We start from the raw sequence: 22,713 nt of genomic DNA on the forward strand, positions 1-22,713 counted from the left end.
TTTCCGTTACTGTGGCCTCGTAGAATAGTTTGAAGTCAGGTACTGTGATGCCTCCAGCTTTGTTCTTTTTGCTTAGGATTGTCTTGGCTATGTAGACTCTTTTTTGGTTCCATATGAAATTTAAAGTAGTTTTTCTAATTTTGTGAAGAAAGTCAATGGTAGCTTGATGGGGATAGCACTGAATCTATAAATCACTTTGGGTGGTATGGCACTCAGGCACAGAAATGTCCTTGTGTTAGGCAATACCATTCAGGACATAGGCATGGGCAGAGACTTCATCACTACAACACCAAAAGCAATGGCAACAAAAGCCAAAATTGACAAATGGGACCTAATTAAGCTAAAGAGTGTTTGCAGAGCAAAAGAAACTATCATCAGAATGAACAGGCAACCCACAGAATGGGAGAAAATTTTTGCAATCTATCCATCTGACAAACAGCTAATATGCAGAATCTACAAAGAACTTAAACAAATTTACAAGAAAAAAAACAACCCCATCAAAAAATGGGCAAAACATATGAACAGACACTTCCCAAATAAGACATTTATGCAGCTAAAGAACATGTGAAGCAAACCACATCATCACTGGTCATTAGAGAAATGGAAATCAAAACCACAATGAGATACAATCTCACACCACTTAGAATGGCCAACATTAAAAGATGAGGAAACAACAGATGTTGGAGAGGACGTGGAGAAATAGGAACGCTTTTACACTCTTGGTGGTAGTATAAATTAGTTCATCCATTGTGGAAGACAGTGTGACAATTCCTCAAGGATCTACAACTAGAAATACATTTAACCCAGCAATCCCATTACTGGGTATATACTGAAAAAATAATAAATCATTCTAATATAAAGACACATGCACACGTATGTTTACTGCGGCACAGTTCACAACAGCAAACACTTGGAACCAATCCAAATGCCCATCAATGATAGACTGGATAATGTGGCATATATACACTATGGAATGCTATGCACCCATAAAAAAGGATGAGTTCATGTCCTTTGCAGGGACATCGATGAAGCTGGAAATCATCACTCTCAGCAAACTAACACAAGAACAGAAAACCAAACACCTCATGTTCTCACTCGTAGGTGGGAACTGAACAATGAGAACACATGGACACAGAAGGGTAACATAACACACCGAGAACTGTTGTGGGGTGGGGGAGGAGGGAGGGATAGCATTAGGAGATATACCTAATGTTAAATGACGAGTTAATGGGTGCAGCACACCAACATGGCACATGTATACATATGTAACAAACCTGCACATTGTGCACATGTACCCTAAAACTTAAAGTATAATAATAAAATTTAAAAATTAAAAAAAAGTTTTAAAAAATTTCCAACTGGATTTTTTTTTGTTTTTTGTTTTTTGTGTTTTTTTTTTGTTTTGTTTTTGTTTTGCAGCCACAGGAGTTTTAGCCAATTCAGATGCCTTGCTCCCCACAATTTGGAACATTCCTTTGGATTTGACCAAGTCAGGAAGAGATGGGAGAAAAGTGAAACAACAATAAAACCCCAAACATAAACAAAAAGAGTTAAGCAAAACAAACAAATGCACAATTCATATGATTAACTGAGTGTTCTAATGGTAAGGAGGAATTAAAAGCAGCTGGTGGGTAATCTTAAATTTTAGTCATTAAACAAAAATTTTAAGACAAAACTCTAATTCAGCTACTTACCTGGAAATAAGGCTCAGACTGGGTGATCATTCTCTGCCATCTTAGAAGCTGGAAAAACTTACACTCACCTTCCCTGTCAGAAGCAAGCTGAAACTCAGGAAAGGAGGTGCCTGCTCTCCTTTGTCAATGGAAGCAGGAAAACTTGCCTTCCTTGTTGGAAATGAGTAAAACTTCAAAAAAGGAGTTGTACAGCAAAATCAACCTTACATCTCAACCAAATTTTCGGAGATCAGGGACTCTGTGAAAGGGAGAAGCTCCACAACCTCAGCAAATTATCCTATTGGTTTGGGCAATACAAATAGCCCAGGTTGGTATCAAGCAATAATGAGATTTATCAAAGGTCAGGACCACCTTTGTAATGTCCTTCTCTTTTTTTATCTTTATTGGTAGAGTCTGTTTTGTCAGAAACTGGGAGTGCAACACCTTTTTTCTGTTTTCCATTTGCTTGAAATATTTTTCTCCATTCCTTTATTTTGAGCCTATGTATGGCACTGCACATGAGATGGGTTGCTTGAAGACGGCATACTCCAGTGGGTCTTGGTTCTTTACCCAGCTTGCCCCGTGTCTTTCAATGGGAGCATTTAGCCCATTTACATTTAAGGTTAGTAATGGTATGTGTGGAATTTATCCTGTCGTCATGCTGTCAGCTGGTTATTTTGCAGACTTACATATGTGCTTGCTTTTTAGCATCATTGGACTGTGTACTTCAGTGTGTTTTTGTAGTAGCAGGTGATGATCTTTTCTTTCCATATTTAGTGCTTCCTTCAGGAGCTCTCGTAAGGTAGATCTGGTGATACCAAATTCCCTCAGCATTTGCTTGTCTGAAAAGGATCTTATTTCTCCTTCACTTATGATGCTTAATTTTGCTGGACATGAAATTCTGGGCTGAAATTTCTTTTCTTTAATGGCAGTTGATGTGGGTTGGGGTGTGTGCTGCACTCCCGTGTGCTCTCAGGGCAAGTAAAGCAAAACCCACCCGTGTAAACACACACAGCAAAGTGATTTAGGAAGTTTCCAAATAAAGGGCTGCCGTATGGAGAGGCAATGTGCAGGCTGGTGCGTGGCTCTAGAGGCCACCTTGCTGCAGCTCTCCACTGATATGGTACAGTCCACTAGCATGGAAGCTATGGTGTGGGCATCTACGAGTGCCCCGTAAGCAGGTGTGGCCAGGCTGGGGCCATGGGAGAGGCGAGCAGACTAAGGAGTGCTGAGATCAGACCAGCCCCATCTCAAGTGCAAGACTGCCCAGCCTCCAGAGATCAGGTCTCAGAGGAGAACTCTCTCAAAAGTGAACCCCCAGCACAGCACAGCTGCTCTACACAAACGTGGCTAGACTTCTTTTATTAAGCAAGTCTCCTTTTTTTAAAAAGGGAACTCTCGGACCTGATCTCTGCTGGGCAATCTTGCATATAAGATGTGGCTGGTATGACCTCAGCATTCCTAAAGTGCTGGGATAAAGTGTCTCACAAGGGCAAGTGGACCCTAGAGAGACAGCCATCCCTGACCTCTGGGCTCCACATCACCTGACTTGCTGCTCCACCACTTTGCTTGTTTCCTGGGTGCTCCATCCCAGAGACATGTGAGTTAGCAATCACTTAGTGTAATCAGCCCAGGATGGAGGGTCTGTGCTGTGGGCCCAAGCCAGGGTTCCCTGTCTGGTGATGAGTAGTGGAGGGTGTGTGGTACCCGTGGGAGATGGACTGGCTTGTTCTTTGGGTCAACTGCAGCTTATTGGAGGTGTTGATAGGGCACTTAGGGTCTTTGCACCCTTGCATCTTCTGAGGGTAGCAAGGGCAGTTCCACTGCAGAGGCAGTGGCAGAAAGGATTTCATTTGCTCCTGGAAGCTCTGTCCCAGGAACTGCAGAGTTGCTACTGGCTTGATAGCTCCAGTGGTGGGCTGGCTAGAGACCCAGGCCAGGAGGATCTGCCCATCAAGTAGAGAGCCCGGCCACTTTTCTGTAGGGCTGCTGTGGTATGCTGGGGGTCCCCTCCAGTCCCTAATTGCCTTGTATTTTCCACGGAAGATGATAGTCTGCCCCTTCCTCTGGAAGCTCTGTACCACTGAGGTACGAACCTGTTGCCAATCTGAACACACCTATAAGATGTGGCTGGAGGCAAGTTGAGAAGTCTTACCTAGTCAGGACGAACGAGAACAGGGACTTGCTTCAAAAAAAAAAGTCTGGCCACGTTTTTATAGAGCAGCTGTGCTGTGCTGGGGGTTCACTTCAGCCCCTGGTCCGCCTCAGACACTCTGAAGCCCTAAGGCTGAAATGGCTGGGTCGCCCAAACAGCAAAGATGACAATCTGGTCCTCCCCCTGGGAGCTCTGACTCAGGGAGGCCTGAGACCTCTGTCGGCCAGAGAACAGCAGTCAAGGTAGCCAGAGACCCTGGTTGAAAGACTTCACCCGCTGACTAGAAATGTGATCAGGGACTGACGTAAACAAGAGTCTGGCCACGTTTTTGTAGCGTGGCTGTGCTGTGCTGAGGTACCTCTTCCACCCCTTGTCAGCTTGGGCTCTCCAAAGCCCGCAGGCCAGAATGGCTAGTCACCGAAAGAGCAAAGGTGGGGGCCTGCCCCTCTCCGGGAGCTCTGTCCCAGGAACATTTCACATTTCCATTGGCCAAGGAATGCTGGTGGGGGTAGCTGGAGGCCCCAGTTGGGAGGTCCTGTCCAGTGAGGTGGAACAGGATCAGGGGCCTGCTTACAGAAGCAGTCTGGCCATGATTTGGTAAAGCAGCTATGCTGTGCTGTGGGATCTCTTCTGTCCCTCGTCGGTTTGTACTCTCCAAAGCCCGCAGGCTGGAATGACTACGTTGCCTGAACGGGAAAGATGGCGGCCTGCCCCGTCTTTTCTCTCAGAGTTTTATCTTGTTTCGTGGAGCTTAATTTTTAGCCTGTTGATTTTACTGTCTTCATTAGACTTGTTGAGAAAGAATCTGTTCTCTTTTAGGTGAGATAAATGAGAATTCATTGTCTTCTGTAAATAAACCTGTTCATGTCTTGTTCTCTGGAAAGAAGTCTCTTTCAGCTATCTGACTTTGGTCACAATCATGTAGAGCAGCAGCCAGTCTACAATGACGTAATTGAATTTCCATTTCCAGTGTTTCCTCGTTGTGTCTTACATTGTCCAGTTCAGAACTGAGCATTTTATTCTCAGTTGTCAACATGCTAAGCTGTCCACTGTACTGAAATACTGTGCTTCCTCAATTTGTTTTAAGGTGTGCACTTTTATCCAACTCTCCTCAAGTCAGAGTACAGGTAAGCCCTGGCTGCCTCCAGCCACTCTCAGGGAGACCAAAAGCCTTCATACACCCCAAGTTGGGGTACAAAAGAGGGGGGCCACGAAGGCTGATCATTCAAAATAAAACAAAATTAAAAAGTATTAAGGCGAAGATTCAAAAAATTTTGCATTATGTAATTTGCACAAAAGCAATGCTATCACCTCCCCTGTGTGAACTAGGGAGAGGACTGGGCCATTCTCCTTAGAGAGAAGTGGGGTGGCTTTTAGCAGGGCAAGGGGCTTCCTGAAACAATGCGTCTCACAATATTTGGAATGACTATTGAAAAGAAGAACAAGGTACAATCAAAGTCCTTGGCCACATTGTAGAACTTTGGAGGAAGCTTCCTCCAACCGACTGCTGTCACCTTCACCATTCCGGTTTTTAAATCCTGAGTCAAGCCAATAAAAAACAAAACAAAAAATGAAACAAGAAAACAAATAAAGCCATGCCAATCTCATGTTGTTTTCTGAGAAGTTTGGTTTTGTCAAGAAAGGGTGTAACGCAACTAAGTCAGAGTCCACCTACAAGCATTTGCGGTGGACAATGGAGGGGCCTGACTCATCATACTCCTGCTTGCTGATCCACATCTGCTGGAAGGTGGACAGCGAGGCCAGGATGGAGCCACCGACCCACACGGAGTACTTGCGCTTGGGAGGAGCAATGATCCTGATCTTCATCATGCTAGGCGCCAGGGCAGCGATCTCCTTCTGCATTCTGTGGGCCATGCCAGGGTACATGGTGGTGCCGCCAGACAGCACTGTGTTGGTGTACAGGTCTTTGCGGATGTCCACATCAGACTTCATGATGGAGTTGAAGGTAGTTTCATGGATGCCACAGGATTCCATGCCCAGGAAGCAAGGCTGGAAGAGCGCCTCGGGGCAGCGGAACCGCTCGTTGCCGATGGTGATGACCTGGCCATCGGGCAGCTCGTAGCTCTTCTCTAGGGAGGAGCTGGAGGCCACCGTGGCCATCTCCTGCTCGAAGTCCAGGGCAACATAGCACAGCTTCTCTTTGATGTCACGCACGATTTCCCGCTCGGCCATGGTGGTGAACCTATAGCCATGCTCGGTGAGGATCTTCATGAGGTAGTCAGGCAGTTCCCGCCCAGCCAGGTCTAGGCGCAGGGTGGCATGGGGGAGGGCATTCCCCTCATAGATGGGCACAGTGTGGGTGACCCCGTCACCAGAGTCCATCACGATGCCAGTAGTACGGCCAGAGGTGTACAGGGACAGCACAGCCTGGATGGCCACGTACATGGCTGGGGTGTTGAAGGTCTCAAACATGATCTGGGTCATCTTCTCGCGGTTGGCCTTAGGGTTCAGGGTGGCCTCGGTCAGCAGGACGGGGTGCTCCTCGGGAGCCACACGCAGCTCGTTGTAGAAGGTGTGGTGCCAGATCTTCTCCATGTCATCCCAGTTGGTGATGATGCCGTGTTCCATGGGGTACTTCAGGGTCAGGATGCCTCTTTTGCTCTGGGCCTCCTTGCCCACATAGGACTCTTTCTGATGCATGCCCCCCATCATGCCCTGCTGCCTGGGGCGCCCCACGATGGAAGGGAAGACAGCCCGGGGGGCATCGTCGCCCGCAAAGCCGGCCTTGCACATGCCAGAGCCGTTGTCAATGACGAGCACAGCGGTATCATCATCCATGGTGAGCTCATTCAATTGTAGAGCCTTTAAAAGATTATCATTCCTTTTTTTCACACTTTCAATATCCTCCAAATATTTCTTTTCTCTTAGCTGGCTCTGATGTTTCATTGTGTCTAGCTCCAGTCTTAGCATGGCAATTTCTTCCCGCAACGTACTATTTTCATGCAAGATGTCTTTTTCTTTCTTACAACTAAGAGAAAGCTAAGTAAACAAAGAGAACTTTTAGTTAGCACTCAATAGATTGACATATCATGATTTCTTCTGAAATTCAAAAATAACATGTATTTGTATAATGAAAGAATCCCCATAGTGGATATTTAACTGGAAAAAAATTGGACAAAACTTCAAACCTAATAAGAGTGTAAATTCCTCCAGTGATTTATTTTTCATCGTCTTTAAATAAATATTTAAACTTTTAGGAATCTGCTCCTAAATTCCTAAAAGTTTAAATATTTATTTAAAGACGATGAAAAATAAATCACTAGAGGATTTTTAAGAATCCCAGAATTAAAAAAAGCCTTTTTTCTGAGTTACAAAAAACCCAGAGGCATAAAATATAAGATTAATAATTTGACTACATTTTTAAGATTAGGTTTACACTCTGATATCTAACCTATCAACCACACCATCCTAAGAGCCTTAGCTATGCATATATTTGGACAGAAGCAATTTCTCAAAGTTCTTTAAGTTTCTTTTACTTAAGAACGTTTTACCGATATTCTACATTTCTAATATTTCTATACTCAGTTATAAGAATTACATTTATTTATAACTGTCAAATAAGCACTGTACCCTTCTACACTGTACACATCTGTATCTAGGCATTGCTCTTCTACATATAATACTGAACTCATTTAAGATCGCGATTCTTAAAAGGAGAGGTCAAAAAATATACACAGATGCAGGATTTTCCCCAGGTCTGCTGATGCTACTTCTAGTGATCCTCCACAAAACCACACTTACTTCTGTGGTGTAAATATATAAATACAAAAGAAACCTTTTGTTTCAAAATATGAATGGTAAATAAGATACAACTTATAGAGATTTTCTTAGAAATCATGAGATTATTTGCCATTGCGGTAACTTTTATTTCCTCTTTATAATGTTTGAAACAGTAGTAATGGTGAAATAGGGGAAATATACTGAACTATTTCTCCAGAAAGAAAATACTTATCAATAAATTATTACTAAATGTGTATCATGGCATGTCATTCTTTTCAAACCTCTTTACATTGAAATGAGAAACTACTTGGAGCAAACTGTTCCTCTCTGCAAAAGTAAGGATAATGGTATCCACAATGTGGCCTCTGACCCAGCTATACATTTCCTACTTTCTTATCAGTAAAAATAATCAATTGACTTCTCTATTAACATTTTTTAAAAAACTAATGTCCAAAAACGAGAAAATCTGTTTTCAGTAGCAAAACTTATTTCTGATGTGGAAAGATCATCAATTCTTATGAAAAATATCAAATACTTCTCCTTTGGATTGAGGCCATTGTGCAGGTCACTACTCAACTGTTGCAGGCAAATGAAGGTGAATTAAGAACATGGCTTTATCCTATACGTACGTATATAGATATATGACAAAGGATATATAGAATATATACACACATATATATGACTTAAAAATCCTTTATATTTCCAAAATACAGTTCTTTAAAATATACACACATATAAAAACATTTGAAAATAACTAAAGAAAATACCTCAGAATTCATTTTTTCAACCACTTCTATCTGCTTTTCTTCATGAATCAGAATCTCATCGTGTAATATTCCAGTGTTCTGTTCTTCACAAAATTGCTTCTGAGTATCATTTTGTTCGTCACTAGAAGAAATTTTAATTTTCATGAAATACTGGAGCTGTCCCTAAAATGATGTACAGGGCAAGATGGCGCCATCAGATGTCATTCACACAATGCATATCTGCACATTATTCCAAGACAAGGCAAAGGGGTCTCACATCTGTTAACCAGGTGTCCCCAACCATGCTGGCACCAGGGACTGCTTTTGTGGAAGATAATTTTTCCAGGAACCTGAGGTGGGGGATGGTTCCAGGATGATTCAAGTATATTACATTCATTGTGCACTTTATTTCTATTATTATTAATATATAATGAAATAATTATATCTCACCAAAATGTAGAATCAGTGGGAGCCCTGAGCTTGTTTTCCTGCAACTAGATGGTCCCATTTGGGGGTGACGGAAGATGGTGACAGATCAGAAAGGCATTCGATTCTCATAAGGAGTGAACAACCTATATCCCCCTGCATGAGCAACTTACAACAGGGTTCAGGTCACACTCAGGACAATCTAATGCCACCGCTGATCTGACAGGAGGAGGAGCTTGGGCGGTAATGCGAGCGACAGAGAGTGGCTGTAAACAGATGGAGCTTCACTTGCTCACCTGCCTCGAACCTCCTGCTGTGTGGCCCAGGTCCTAACAGGCCAGGGACTGCTAATGGTCTGTGTCCTGTAACCCATACTCTTTATGTTTATTGTTTGGAAACACTTTCTACTTATATTCTTGATTCCTATGTATTTTATAAACAACTTAGAAATTCCTTTTAGAACAAGACAGGGTCTAATATTATGTTTTTAACATAGGACTTTGAAATAATTTTATCTGTGTATGAGAGAGAGATGTGAAATAAACTCATCGTTAAGCACTTTCCATTTTACTTTTATTTCATGCATATTAAGAATAAAACTGGGAAGTCCTAGGCAGAGCAATTGGGCAAGAGAAATAAAGGGCATCCAAATTGGAAAAGAGGAAGTCAAACTATCTCTTCACCAATGATATTATCCCATACCTAGAAAACCCTAAAGACTCCTACAAAACACTCCTAGATTTGATACATGAATTCAGTAAAGTCTCAGAGGTTACAAAATAAATGAATACCAATCAGTAGCACCACTATACATCAACTACAACCAAGCTGAGAGTTCATATCAACAATCCAATCCCTTTTACAGTGGCTGCAAAAAGGTGTGAAGTACCTAGGAATATACTTAATGAAAAAAGTGAGTGATCTATATAAAGATAACTGGAAAACACCACCAAAGAAAATAACAGATGACACAAACAAATGAAAATACATCCTATGTTCATGGACTGAAAGAACTGATATAGTGAAAATGACCATAGTGCCCAAAGCAGTCTACACATTCTATACAATACCTACCAAAGTACCAATGTCATTCTTCACAGAATTATTTTAAAATGCTGACATTCATGTAGAACCACAAAAGAGCCTGAACAGCAACAGACATACCAAGCAAAAGGAACAAATATGTTGGCATCACATTACCTGACTTCAAATGATACTCTAAGACCACAGTAACAGAAGCAGCGTGGTACTCGTATAAAAACAGATACATAGATCAATGGAACAGAACAGACAACTCAGAAATAAAGCCACTACAACCAAGTGATCTCTGAGCAAGGATACAAAAACATACACTGGAGAAAGTACAGGTTATTCAATAAATGGTGCTGGGAAAAAAAGATAGCCACATGTGGAAGAATGAAACTGGATCTCTATCTCTCACCATATACAAAAATTAATTCAAGATGGATGAAAGGCCTAAACCTAAGACCTGAAAACATTGGCCTAGGCAAAGGATTTATGAGGAAGACCCTAAAAGCAAATCCAACAAAAATGAAAATAAATAAATAAGACCTAATTAAACTAAAAAGCTTCAGCACAGCAAAAGAAATAATCATCAGAGTAAAACAACAACTTATACAATGGGAAAATTTTGAAAATTATGATGCTAACAAAGGACTAATATCTATAACCTACAAGAAACTCAAACAAATCAACAGGAAAAACGCAAATAATTCCATTGGAAAGTGGCCAAATTACATGAATAGACATTTCTCAAAAGAAGATGTACAAACGGTAAACAAGCATATAAAAACACGCTAAATATCTCTAATCATCAGGGAAATGTACAATAAAACCACAGTGAGATATCACCTCACTGCAGCCAGAATGGCCACTATTAGAAATCAAAAAACAACAGATGTTGGTGTGGATGCGGTGAAAAGACAACAGTGATACACTGCTGGTGGGAATGCAACTTCATACAAATCTATGGAAAACAGTATGGAGATTTCTCAAAGAACTAAAAGTAGATCCTACCATTTTATCCAGCATTCTCATTTCCAGATATCTACATAAAATAAAAGAAATCATACTCTCAAAAGGACACCCGCATACATATGTTTACTGCAGCACAATTCACAATATGCAAAGATATGGAATCAACCAGTGTCCATCAACTGATGCGTGGAATAAAGAAAATGGACGTATATACATATATATATATCTCACATCACATACATGTATCATATATATGTATGTGTGTATATACACTCACACATATACATATGTACATAGCTGAGACTGGGTAATTCACACACATACATACCTGAGACTAGGTAATTCATAAAGGAAAGAGGATTAATTGATTCACAGTTACGCATGGCTGGGGAGGCCTCAGGAAACTTAACAACCATGGTAGAAGGGGAAGGGGAAGCAGGCACCTTCTTCATAAGGCGGCAGGAGAGAGAGAAGAGAGAAGTGAAGCGCAAAGAGCCCCTTATGAAACCATCAGCTCTTGTGAGGACTCACTCACTATCACAAGAACAGCATGGAGGAAACCGACCCCATGAGCCAATCACCTCCCAGCTGGTCTTTCCTCAACACCTGGGAATTACAATTTGACATGAGATTTGCATAGAAACACAAAGCCAAACTATTGCGGGGGGGGGGGGGGGTTATCCTTATTTTTAAAATATCTAAATGTCATTATTTATAATTCAAAATAGCAATTTTTATTACTTATGATTTTGTTTGAAAATAAAATGATCTCGTAAATTTTCTTCACTTTTAACCTATTCAGTCAAAATATAGAAAAAGCTAGATTTGCCAGCAGAAAATTGTTAACTTTTTAATGAGATAAAAATGTATAACAATATCACTATTATTGTACAGAGAAAAAAGTGAACAAGAAAAGGAATTTAAAAACACAGAATATGACTATCACATACATACATGAACTGACAAAGAGACTAAAATCTCCTACTGGAGATTATGTTAGGACTTGAGCAAAAGCTTCTAAAAATACCAAAAACAAAAACAAAACACTTATTTTTAAGAAATAAATTATACAGAGAACACTTCTGGTTAAGATGATGTATCAAAAAAAAAAAATCTTCGTGAGAGCTATTATTAACCAAGTCATCATAACCAAAACTTTAAATCCACAATTCTGGAATATTAAAAAGTTTCTTTTTGAACATAGTTAATGGAAGGCAACTTTTGAACAGAAAATTTCTGGTTAAAGTTGACTCAAACTTAGGAAAGAATTGACCTGTAGCCATGGTAACAAGAAGCCAGCCAGAGCCAGTTCAAAATCTAGTCAATCGATCAATGACCGACCACTGGCTGTGCTCACCAACCAATATCAGTGTGAGCAGCTTGCTTCTGAAAGACAGCCAAGCAGCAACAGCTGCTCCATCAGAATAGACAGTGCCTGACCAGTATAGTCTTACTATCGGAAGCAAAAAATTCCAACTGTCTTTTTATTTCAAATACCGAAGGTCCATAATCCCTTGGAAAGAATTTGTGAGTCCATTACATTTACCACCCTAAAAAAACTAAAATACTAGTGGCCGGATGTGGTGGCTTACACCTGTAATCCACCCAGGTGGGTGGACTGCCTGAGGTCAGGAGTTCAAGACCAGCCTGACAAACAGGATGAAACCCCGTCTCTACTAAAAATACAAAAATTAGCCGGGTGTCATGGCACGCACCTGTAATCCCAGCTCCTCAGGGGGCTGAGGTAGGAGAATCGCTTGAACCCAGGAGGCAGAGGTTGCAGTGAGCCGAGGTCACACCACTGCACTGCAGCCTGGGTGACAGAGCGAGACTCTGTCTCTAAATAAATAAAATACCAGTAAAGTTTGTAATTTCTCTAACTCATTTTACCATAATTGCAATTATCATGATTACCAGTAAAAGAATAGTGAATAACCACAATATTGGGCTTTTCTCCCTAAGTGAAAAAATATTAATATAAAGAATGTAGCTTATTATAAAAAGCCGAAAGAATTTTTAAAATACATATAATTACCAGGCAAAATTGTTAAAATGAACCTTGTCAAACATTTTTTAAGTGAGAATCAATCAAACAATATACCCGGGATAAACTCCATTCATTCATTTAATACCTATTTATTAGGTAGCTACGTCTGATAGGCTAGGCCTCTTTCTAGGAAGTGAGGATATGGTAATGAACAATAAAAACCCTATTCATGAGAGTGAGATAAACACACAATAACAACAGACAGATACGGCAAAATACACAGTACGTTAGAGGAGAAAAACTAAAGCAGGAAAATGAAATCTTTATGTGTTTGATGGGAAGGGTGGTGGGAAAGTTGGGATGGCCAGAAAAATCCCTGCTGAGAAAGAGGATTTTTCTTTAATACAAAGAAACTTTTATTTGTACATCAAAGACTCTAAAAAATGATGATGTTAACAGAGTTGATGTCAAGACACAAACAGGTTTGAAGTTAAAGATGATAAATCACTTTGTTTCATTGAACCTTCCCTCAATTACGTTAAGAGAGCATCCCTGGTATGTTCCCAATTGAATCTCAAGCCTGACGCGTCCTGATGATACAATCCTAATTCCTTTCTGTTAGTCCTCATTATCTCTCTTTTTTTTCATTTTCTTCATTTTCTCTGGATTAGGAATCGTGCTGGTACATGGTTCTTCCTCAGGAAGTGGTTATTCCTTAATGGGTTTCTTTTTACCCTTTTTCTTCTTCTTAGAAAGGGGATTTTAAGTAAAGAGCTGAAGTAATGGAAACAGTAAGCTAGAAGAATATCTGGGGAAAAAGCATTCCAGACACAGGGAACTGCTAAGTGCAGAGGTGTGCCTGGAGTCTTTAAGCACTAGGGATAGGTCAGGAATAGCAACAAGTTCAGTGTGGCTGAAACACAGCAATAGAGATAAGAAACAGAAGTTTCAGCAGGAGAGGTAACATGCCAGATGGTTTACTGCCTTTCAGTTATTAGGAGGAACTCTGCCACATACTCAGAGTGAAATAGGAGGCAATCAGAAGGGCAGGGGCAGAGGAATGACAACATTTGACTTATGTTTTAAATACATCCACTGAGATAAGAATTGATGAAAGGGGAAGTTTTTAAAAACCAGGACTATCAATTCCCGTCTATGACACTCATCTAAACTGCAGATGACGGTGGCTCAGATGTACAAGATAGACTGGCCTCTGGATATATTCTTCAGATAGACCTGACAAGATTTACTGAGAGATTAGATGTGAAGTGTCAGGACAGAGAGAAAGATCAGTCAAGAAGATCTTGACTGAGAGAGAAAGATCAGACACTGAGGTTTTTGGCAGAGCAACTGGAAGAGTTGCTGTTAACCAAAGTAGGAAAGACTACATGAGGTGTAGATTTCAGGAAGGACATCAGTAGCCCAATTTTGGATCTGACAAGTGTGTGATACCCAACAGCTAATCAAATAGAGATGTCAAGTAGGTGGGATGATATAGAGATCTGGAATTAAGGAAAGAGATCTAAGTTGGAGACATACATTTGGAAATCACTAGCATATACACAGTAGAAAAAGTCACGAGGGGCCAGGCACGGTGGCTCACGCCTGTAATCCCAACATGTCATGAGGCCAAGGCGGGCAGATCACCTGATGTCAGGAGTTTGAGACCAGCCTGGCCAACATGGGGAAACCTGTCTCTACTAAAAATACAAAAATTAGCCAGGCGTGGTGTTGCACACCTGTAATCCCAGCTACTCAGGAGGCTGAGGCAGGAGAAGTGCTGGAACTCATGAGGCAGAGGTTGCAATGAGCCAAGATCATGCCACTGAACTCCAGCCTGGGGGACAAAGTGAGACTCTGTCTTAAAAAAAAAAAAATTATGAGAAAGAAGATTGAGGACTGAGCCATGAGAAACAACAATGTCCAAAAGGAGAAAGATGAGGAGCAGCAAGCAAAACAGACCATGATAAACGGACTAGAAAGGCAGGAGGAAAAGCCTGAGGGAGTGAGGTCCTGAAAGCCAAGTGAAGACGCCATTAGGGAGGAGATGCCCTCCATTGGCTCAAATATTGCTGACAGATTAAATGAGGTGTAAGAAAAATGCCTAGATTTAGTACAGAAAAAAATTAGTGATAATCTTGAGGAAAAATAGTTCTGGAGGAGTGCTGAAATTGAAGACTTACCGGCATTGAGATCAAGAGTGAATGGAAAGAAAATTTGAGTTCATGAGTGTAGACAGTTCTTTAAGGACAATATACTTAACGCTCATGACTGAGAATGATGTAATTTTCATCCACAGTCATGGAAAAGTGATAGACAAGAAATAGTAGCTTCCAAATTTTACATACCAGGTGGAGTTTTCAAATTTTATGTAACCATTATATATTCTAAAGGTTATAAAAATTATACACATATGGCATTTAGAAATGTCAGACCAAGGTTTTAAAGGCCCTTTGAACATTTCTAGATTACATAAGCTGATTATCATTTTGTTCACGCTTATACATAAAGACCAAGAAATACTAAAACTCTCAAGGAGAATATTTCTTGCTTGATAAAAATCAGCCAATTCTAGGACAGTTGACACTCATCAAATATACGAAGTAATTGATCACAGTAAAATACTGAGTTCTATTAACAGGAATAAAGTGGGAGAAATGCAGAAAATAATCTTATTTTATAAATGTAGTTTTCAAAATCATATGAAGTCACTGGAAAAATATGGTGAGGTAAATACTGAAATATATCCTTTTCTCAAAGGGAGGATAATGTCACACATGCAGGGCACTTTTACAAATAAAAGTCACTGCATTAGCAGCACCTTCCTTTTAGCACAAGGGTCAGCAAATAAGCACCTGTGGGCCAAATCCAGCCCACTGCCCGTTTTTGTAAGTCAAGTATCTTGGAACACAGCCATGCTTATTCACTTTACAGTCCATAGTGTCAGTTAGCTGGGTGTGATGTTGCACACCCGTGGTCTCAGCTAGTAGAGACTGAGGTCAGAGGATCACTAGAGCCCAGAAAGTCGAGGCTGCAGTCAGCCATGATCACACAACTGCACTCCAGCCTGGGAAACAGAGTGAGACCCTGTCTCAAGAAAATCAATATATGTAGTCCACAAAGCCTAAAATATTTACTAACTAGCTCTTTGCAGAAAAAGCTGGCCAACTCCTGGTTTAGTAGATCAAAGATTCTTTGATGTATTTTAATAAAAGTTTTACCAAATATACTGAAATGTTTATATTAAATATAGATCCCCATGTACAATCGCTTGGCAATATTCAGATTGAGGGTCCAATATTTCAGCACTCAGGCACTGACAACAAAAATTTAGTAACTAGCAATCTTGTTGCTAACAAGGTACAGTGTCAATGTAGCATGTAGCTTCCATTTGCAACACAGCAGATATTACAAGAAATTTAACAAGAACTCTTAAGATGTGTCATCAAACTAAACGCTTTAAATACATTTTAATTGTGAAATAATCAGTATACCCTACATCTAACCTCATTTTTTAAAAATGGTTGCATAATACATTATTTTGGGGATATGGAAATTGAGCTATTTCCTATTGATAAGGAATTAGACTAGCTCCAAATTTTTTACATAATACTATAATAAATGTCCTTATACATAAGTATACATATAACATATCTATACAAATATCCTTTACATGTATTATATATGCTTACTGTTATATATGTGTGTGTGAATATGCTACTCAATTAATGTTCAAAATGTATTTACCAACAGTATATGAAATGTCTTTTTCAATGAAACCATTTCCCCTGCAGCAACACGGATGGAGCTGGAGGCCATTATCCTAAGAAAACTCATGCAGGAACAGAAAATCAAATGCCACATATTCTTACTCATTAGTGGGAACTAAACATGAGAACTCATGGACACAAAGAGGAGAATAACATACACTGGGGCCTACTTGAGGGAGGAGCATGGCAGGAGGGAGACGACCAAAAAACTACCTTTCGAGTATTTTGTTTACTATGTGGCTGGTGAAATAATCTGTACCCCAAGCCTCCATGATACAGTTTACCTATATAATAAACCTGCACACGTACCCCGAAGCTAAAATAAAAGTTCACTGAAAAGAGAAGAAAATGTCTTTTCCCTCACATTTGCCAATACTGGTTATTTTTCAAATAAATTAATGACTGGAAAAAAAACGGTAACTGATTGTTTGCTGATTTTCATTTTTCTGATTAACAGGCAAGGCTCAATATCCTAATAAAAGTATAAAATTTGTTCATCATGAATATTAGCTCAAATTAGGATTAGTTTGGCAGCACAAAGTTACCTCCTGTTCAATGTTGCCATAGGCTTACCTGTGATACTCTTCATTCTCAGTGTCAGGAAATTGCTGGCTTTCAGGTGTTCTGCTCTTCCTTGGAGGAATTAATCCATCATCACCATTGCCAGCAGTGGCACCATTAGTCAGGTTTTCTGGGAATCCGACATGAGTACTTCTGTGCTTCTTCATTTCTTCGATAGCCATAAAATTTTCTAGCTGGAAAATACAGAGAATAAGAAATTATCTACTTTAGGCACATTATCTATTGATAATCAGACTAAAACCAAGAAAGATAAAATAATTGGTCTAAAGCTCCTAAAGTGGCATTACCTAGCATTTTATGGCACCATTCGGGATTATTCCATAATAATGAAAGAATAGCTCTAGGGTTTGCACCTCTTCAAAATTCAATGTACAGAATTCTGAGTTAACTATTTAATTTTTCACTGATGATTTATGCTACTTACATGATAGGATCATGTATGCCTACATTTACTACACTTTGTTAAACAACATAATGTAAAAATCTAATTCAACACAAACGTTTGAATATAAAGGTATACCTCTCTATCACCATCCTTATTTATTTCTGGTTCTTGAGATCTTTTCTGCAGATGTAAAAACAGAAGGTTAATTTGCTTGTTGTATTTCTGTGACATTTCCTCTTTTGGAGTGCATGTTTTTAAAATAATTTTATTCTGAAGTAATCAAGTATGGACAATAAAAATTAGAAAGTAATTAAAATTAAACTGTTAAAATAAATAATAATTAAAATTAAGAATTAACTTTTTAATCTATGTTTAGCTACTGCCACATCACTGGCTTCTAACATGTGAAAAATAATTCACCTTAGACAAAGGGAGAAGAAAAACATGAACCAGCAAACTTAACTTTCTCACTATTTGTTTGGACTAAATTTAATTTGTTATGTGTTAAATCTACCAAAAATGAATCAGCAGATGATTTGTAGTGTTCCAAAATCTTCCTCACTTGAAAAGAGTTTACCTCATGAAACCCTAACTAGTGAGCACCTACAGTGCACTGAAGTGCTTTTTTAAAAGATTCCTAACTGGATTGTAGGCACCCTTTAAACTATTAGGAGCCGAAATCAACACCAAACAGAAAGAAATGCAAATTCTCACATTTTAATTGAAATTATATACTGTCATATGATAGTGTTATGTATCCAGATTATCTGCGTAAGTCCAGTTCTAATATATTCTAATGTGTACTAATGACAGCAGATAAAATTTTTTAATCTCTACTGATTTTCTGCAACTGAAATAAATTAGAATGTTATTGTGTTTGTGCACTAACACCAAAGGTCCCATTCTGCAAGATATGGTTCTTGTAATAGGCAGTTGGGTTGCTTTTATGACCTGGTTCCCTCCCTGAACAGAAACACTGAGGTCAACGAGAGACCACAAGGCAGGATATGTCCTTAACCTTGGTATCAGTGACTGACAATATAAAACTGTGGATTTTCAATCACAGGCCATGATTACTCTTTAACCATGAATCCAGCTCAGGGAATCAGTGTTACATTGTTCATAATTCCTATTGCTTAATAATATGATTCAATCATTGATGTTACTTTCTTTATCATGTTAGGGTGTTGTAAAAATAAAAGAACAAACAAAGTTCTGAAATTTGTTTTTGCCTCTATTCCAAAAGGAGAGATTAGCTATAAGCTAATCAAGAAGGCAGATAAGAATATTTTAAAATAAGAGTATTTTAAATTTTATAGTGGGTTATGTTGAAGTTAAATATCAAATATTAAATTAGAATCTATTGATTCTTCTGTTAATAAGGTTGCTGATTTTATTACAATAAATTTTAAGAATCTATTAAAATTTTTTTTTTTTTTTTTTTCACATGGAGTCTCGCTCTGTCACCCAGGCTGGAGTGTAGTGGTGGATGTCGGCTCACTGCAAGCTCCCTCTCCTGGGTTCATGCCATTCTCCTGCCTCAGCCTCCCGAGTAGCTGGGACTACAGGCACCCACCACCACGCCCAGCTAAGTTTTTGTATTTTTACTAGAGACGGGGTTTCACCATGTTAGCCAGGATGGTCTCGATCTCCAGACCTCGTGATCCACCTGCCTCAGCCTCTCAAAGTGCTGGGATTACAGGCGTGAGCCACCTTGCCTGGCCAAAAGATTCTTAAAAAAACAATCTACTGATTCTCAAAGCCTAGTCTGAAAGGTAATTTCATTTGGACTATCTAATATTATTAAGGCAAAAAAAACACAACATTAAACAAAAGTTTAAATTTAAAAGTTTCCATGCCTCTGGCTGGCCATTTTCACTGCCTTTAAGCCTTTGTGACTCTTCCTCTGATGTCAGCTTTAAGTCTTGTTCTGTTGAAAAATCCATACATTCAGTTAAAATCAACCACTTAAAACAGTTAAAAACTATTGCCTTTTAAAAACAGATTTGAGACATTTCATTTTATTTCATAAATTGAGTGTTTCATCTTTTGTGAAATTGTCATTTAAGAAATAATTCTCAAAAACTTCAAAAACCCACTTGGGGAGATAGCAGATGTCACCAGATTGAAGACAAACAAACATGTCAAAAATTCCCTCACAAATTCATCCACCCAACATCCATGAACAAAACCACCAGAAACACAGCTTTAAAATACAGTAGAAACATATAAGGTGACACAGTGTACTGTTCTCCACTTCCTAATAGTACCTTATAAATGATTTCCAAAATCACTGCTGACACCTTTATTAGTGTACAACATCTTCCTAATATCTAAAATGTTTCTCTCCACTATTCTGACAAATTTATTTTCTTTTTTTCTTTTTTCTTTTTTTTTTTTTATGAGCTAGAGTCTTCCTCTGTCACCAGGCTGGAATGCAGTGGTGTGATCAGCTCACTGCAACCTCCGCGACCCTGGTTCAAGTGATTCTCCTGCTTCAGTCTCCTGAGTAACTGTGATTACAGGCAAGCACCACCACACCCAGCTGATTTTTGTATTTTTAGTAGAGATGGGGTTTCACCATTGGACAGGATGGTCTCGATCTCCTGACCTCGTGATTCCCTCTGAAAGTGCTGGGATTACAGGTGTGAGCCACCACACCTGGCCTTATTTTCATCTTTTGAAACAATGCTATATGAAGTCTTCCTTGATTCTGCATGTCTTTCCCCAAATAAACAGGTACCTCCTTCCTTGAGGCTGCCTTAGTACTTTACTGATTTTTCTACTGCATCTTGACCACCTAAACTGTACATTATTCCTCCACGTCTGTCCCCTCTGCTCCAAGACTGCAGGGGAGAGTCTTGCACATCATCTTTGTAAAAACAGTCTTTGTTTTACTCAGAAATATTTTATTGAGTCCTGCTAAATACATGCTAGGCATTAGGGTTTAAAAAGAATTAAAATAAAGCATGTCAGAGATGGCTTTTCTAGAACACATGCCCAAGCAGAGACTTAAATATTGAGACTAGCCAGATTAAAAGGTGTAGAGGGCAGGAAAGGGTGACGGCATGCCACGCAGCAGCAAGAGCGGGAGCGACTCCTGAAAGAGTGAAAGTATTTGCCTACAATAGAAGGATGAGTGAGTAGGGCACTGCCAGCAGTTCAGTAATGCCAGAGACAGGGCACACAGGGAAAAGGGCTAAAGATGGAGAGTGGGGCAGAAGTCAGATTATGAAAGCATTATGTGTAATTTTAAGATGCTTGAACATTAATGTTCAAAAGTGGTCCCGGGTCCTATCTGCATTTAGATATAGATCATTTCAATGCCAAAACCAATATTCCTAGTGAACAATTATTCATTAAGACAAGGTGACAGATAGCTCATGTGGACACAGCTGAGATGATACAATGTAGCAAATTCTAAACAATTCTCATGAACACTTGGAAAGTCAGTTCTATAATAAAGTCATACAAATTATAATAAATCAGTAAATATTTGGTTTCGGAAGATGCTTTGTAAAGTTATAATGCATATGAATACAATTAACAGTCGTGAATTCAGAGCTGTGAAAATAAATCAAAGAAACCACATTGTGTTTGAGTCAGCAATCTTTAGATTTCTATCCAGTCTTCCCATCCAGTCCATAAATTCTAAGTATAATCCTGGTACTCACTCTCAAGTTTACGTTAAATACTATCCCATTACAAAAAAACACTCTTTCTCTTACTTCTTTTCATTATGTCCTGCTAAAAAGATTCTGATTGGCTGCAGGCGGCAAGAGGGAAAAACAAAAAGCACATTTTGCAGAAAATGATTATTTAGAAGTCAGAACTATGACATGAAGCCAAGCAGGGCACTCTAGGACCGAATTTGCTGTGCTGCCTTCATACGCTCCTTGCTCTTTCTTTTCTGGCAGCTGTGACTCACACAGGTCATGGAGAGTATCATTCCCTAAGAGGAACAACTCCGATATTCATCTTTATCTATTAAGTTCATCTGTCCCAATTCTGTGTTCTGTGGATGCTGACTTTCTGTCACGGACGATGATGCACATGGACATTTATTACTGACTTTCAGATTCTTGGATCTTTGACAAGTCTTATTACTTAGAGTCAAACTAGTAGGATGCGAGTTATAAATGCTGATTATCCAATTACCTACTCAAAATACCCTACACGAATATTCCATTAAACATGCATCGAAAAACATTAGTCATTCCTGCTGACCTGCTGCTCTTTGCTCTCCTGTATTCACCAGAAAATTTCCTACTCCTTCCTCATGTCCAGGTTAAATACTAGTGTGCAATCTGGAAACCTGTACATCATCTGAGATTTCTCTCTGTCCCCCAAGCCTTTCTCATTCAATTATCACTAAATCATATTGACTATACCTCTCTTCTGCCTCTGTTTTATATTCCCACTGCCACTGGGAACACAAACATTTACAAAATGACTTCTATTTAAAAGAAAACTGCCAACTATTAATGTTATTTCTTACAGGAAAAAAAATTAAGCAAAACAAGTGAAAAAGGCATAACGAAGGCCAACATAGTAAAATGAGTAACTGAGATTTCTAACGTTATTTATTTTACCATGGACGGGTGAAAACCTTGTAATACATTGATGCTACTCCAAGGATGTGTGACATGGAAACTATAGCTGACTACTGCAAAAGCTTCCTTTGTCTCCTGGTTTCTTTGCATGATTATCTCCCATCAATCCCAGGAAACTATAGGCCACAGGCCAAATCCAATCTGCATTATGGTTTTGTAAATAAAGTTTTATAGGAGCTCAGTCATGCCTGTTTGCTTACATATAATCATGGTGGCTTTCACACTACAACAGCAGACAACAGCACGGTTAAGTAGATATGACAGAGACCACATAGTCCAAAATATTTCCCACCTGGTCCTTTAAAGAAAAAGCTTGCTAACCCATTTTACACCATAACCAGAATGCCTTAATACTCAAATTTAATCTTGTGGCTCCCCTGCTCAAATTTCTCCAATGAGCCCCCTCCAGCACACATTGTTGGCTCCCTATCAATAGCCATTCCTCATTCTTTCTGGCAGAAAAAACATAAGTCTATTGGGATATTTAATATCCCAATCCCCCTCCTCAGCCTCAGAAAGAAATGTTTATTCTAAGCTAATCAGATATTTACCTTCCCAGTGCCTGGTTTGGGAATGAGCATGTGGTATGACCCAGCCAATGAAATGTTACAGGAAGCCCCTTGCATGCTTCTAAGTT

General features: G+C 39.5%; 1 protein-coding gene across 5 annotated transcripts in view; it reads right to left on the reverse strand.

Annotated features, from left to right (window-relative positions):
- Positions 1–4,790: 4,790 nt before the first annotated feature.
- The window catches only part of POTEF (POTE ankyrin domain family member F), a 55,688-nt gene continuing 37,765 nt past the window's right edge, over positions 4,791–22,713 (reverse strand). For all 5 annotated transcript variants that reach the window (NM_001099771.2, XM_047445721.1, XM_017004833.2 and 2 more), the window contains 5 exons: positions 19,323–19,393; positions 17,599–17,643; positions 17,070–17,251; positions 8,337–8,457; positions 4,791–6,828 (listed from right to left, as the gene is read on the reverse strand). In NM_001099771.2, the coding sequence (NP_001093241.1) occupies positions 5,500–6,828; positions 8,337–8,457; positions 17,070–17,251; positions 17,599–17,643; positions 19,323–19,393 (1,748 nt within the window). In that variant the 3' untranslated portion in view covers positions 4,791–5,499. The remainder of the gene's footprint in view (positions 6,829–8,336; positions 8,458–17,069; positions 17,252–17,598; positions 17,644–19,322; positions 19,394–22,713) is intronic.

Source organism: Homo sapiens, chromosome 2, assembly GCF_000001405.40.
Source record: "Homo sapiens chromosome 2, GRCh38.p14 Primary Assembly".
In the NCBI taxonomy this organism is placed as follows: domain Eukaryota; kingdom Metazoa; phylum Chordata; class Mammalia; order Primates; family Hominidae; genus Homo; species Homo sapiens.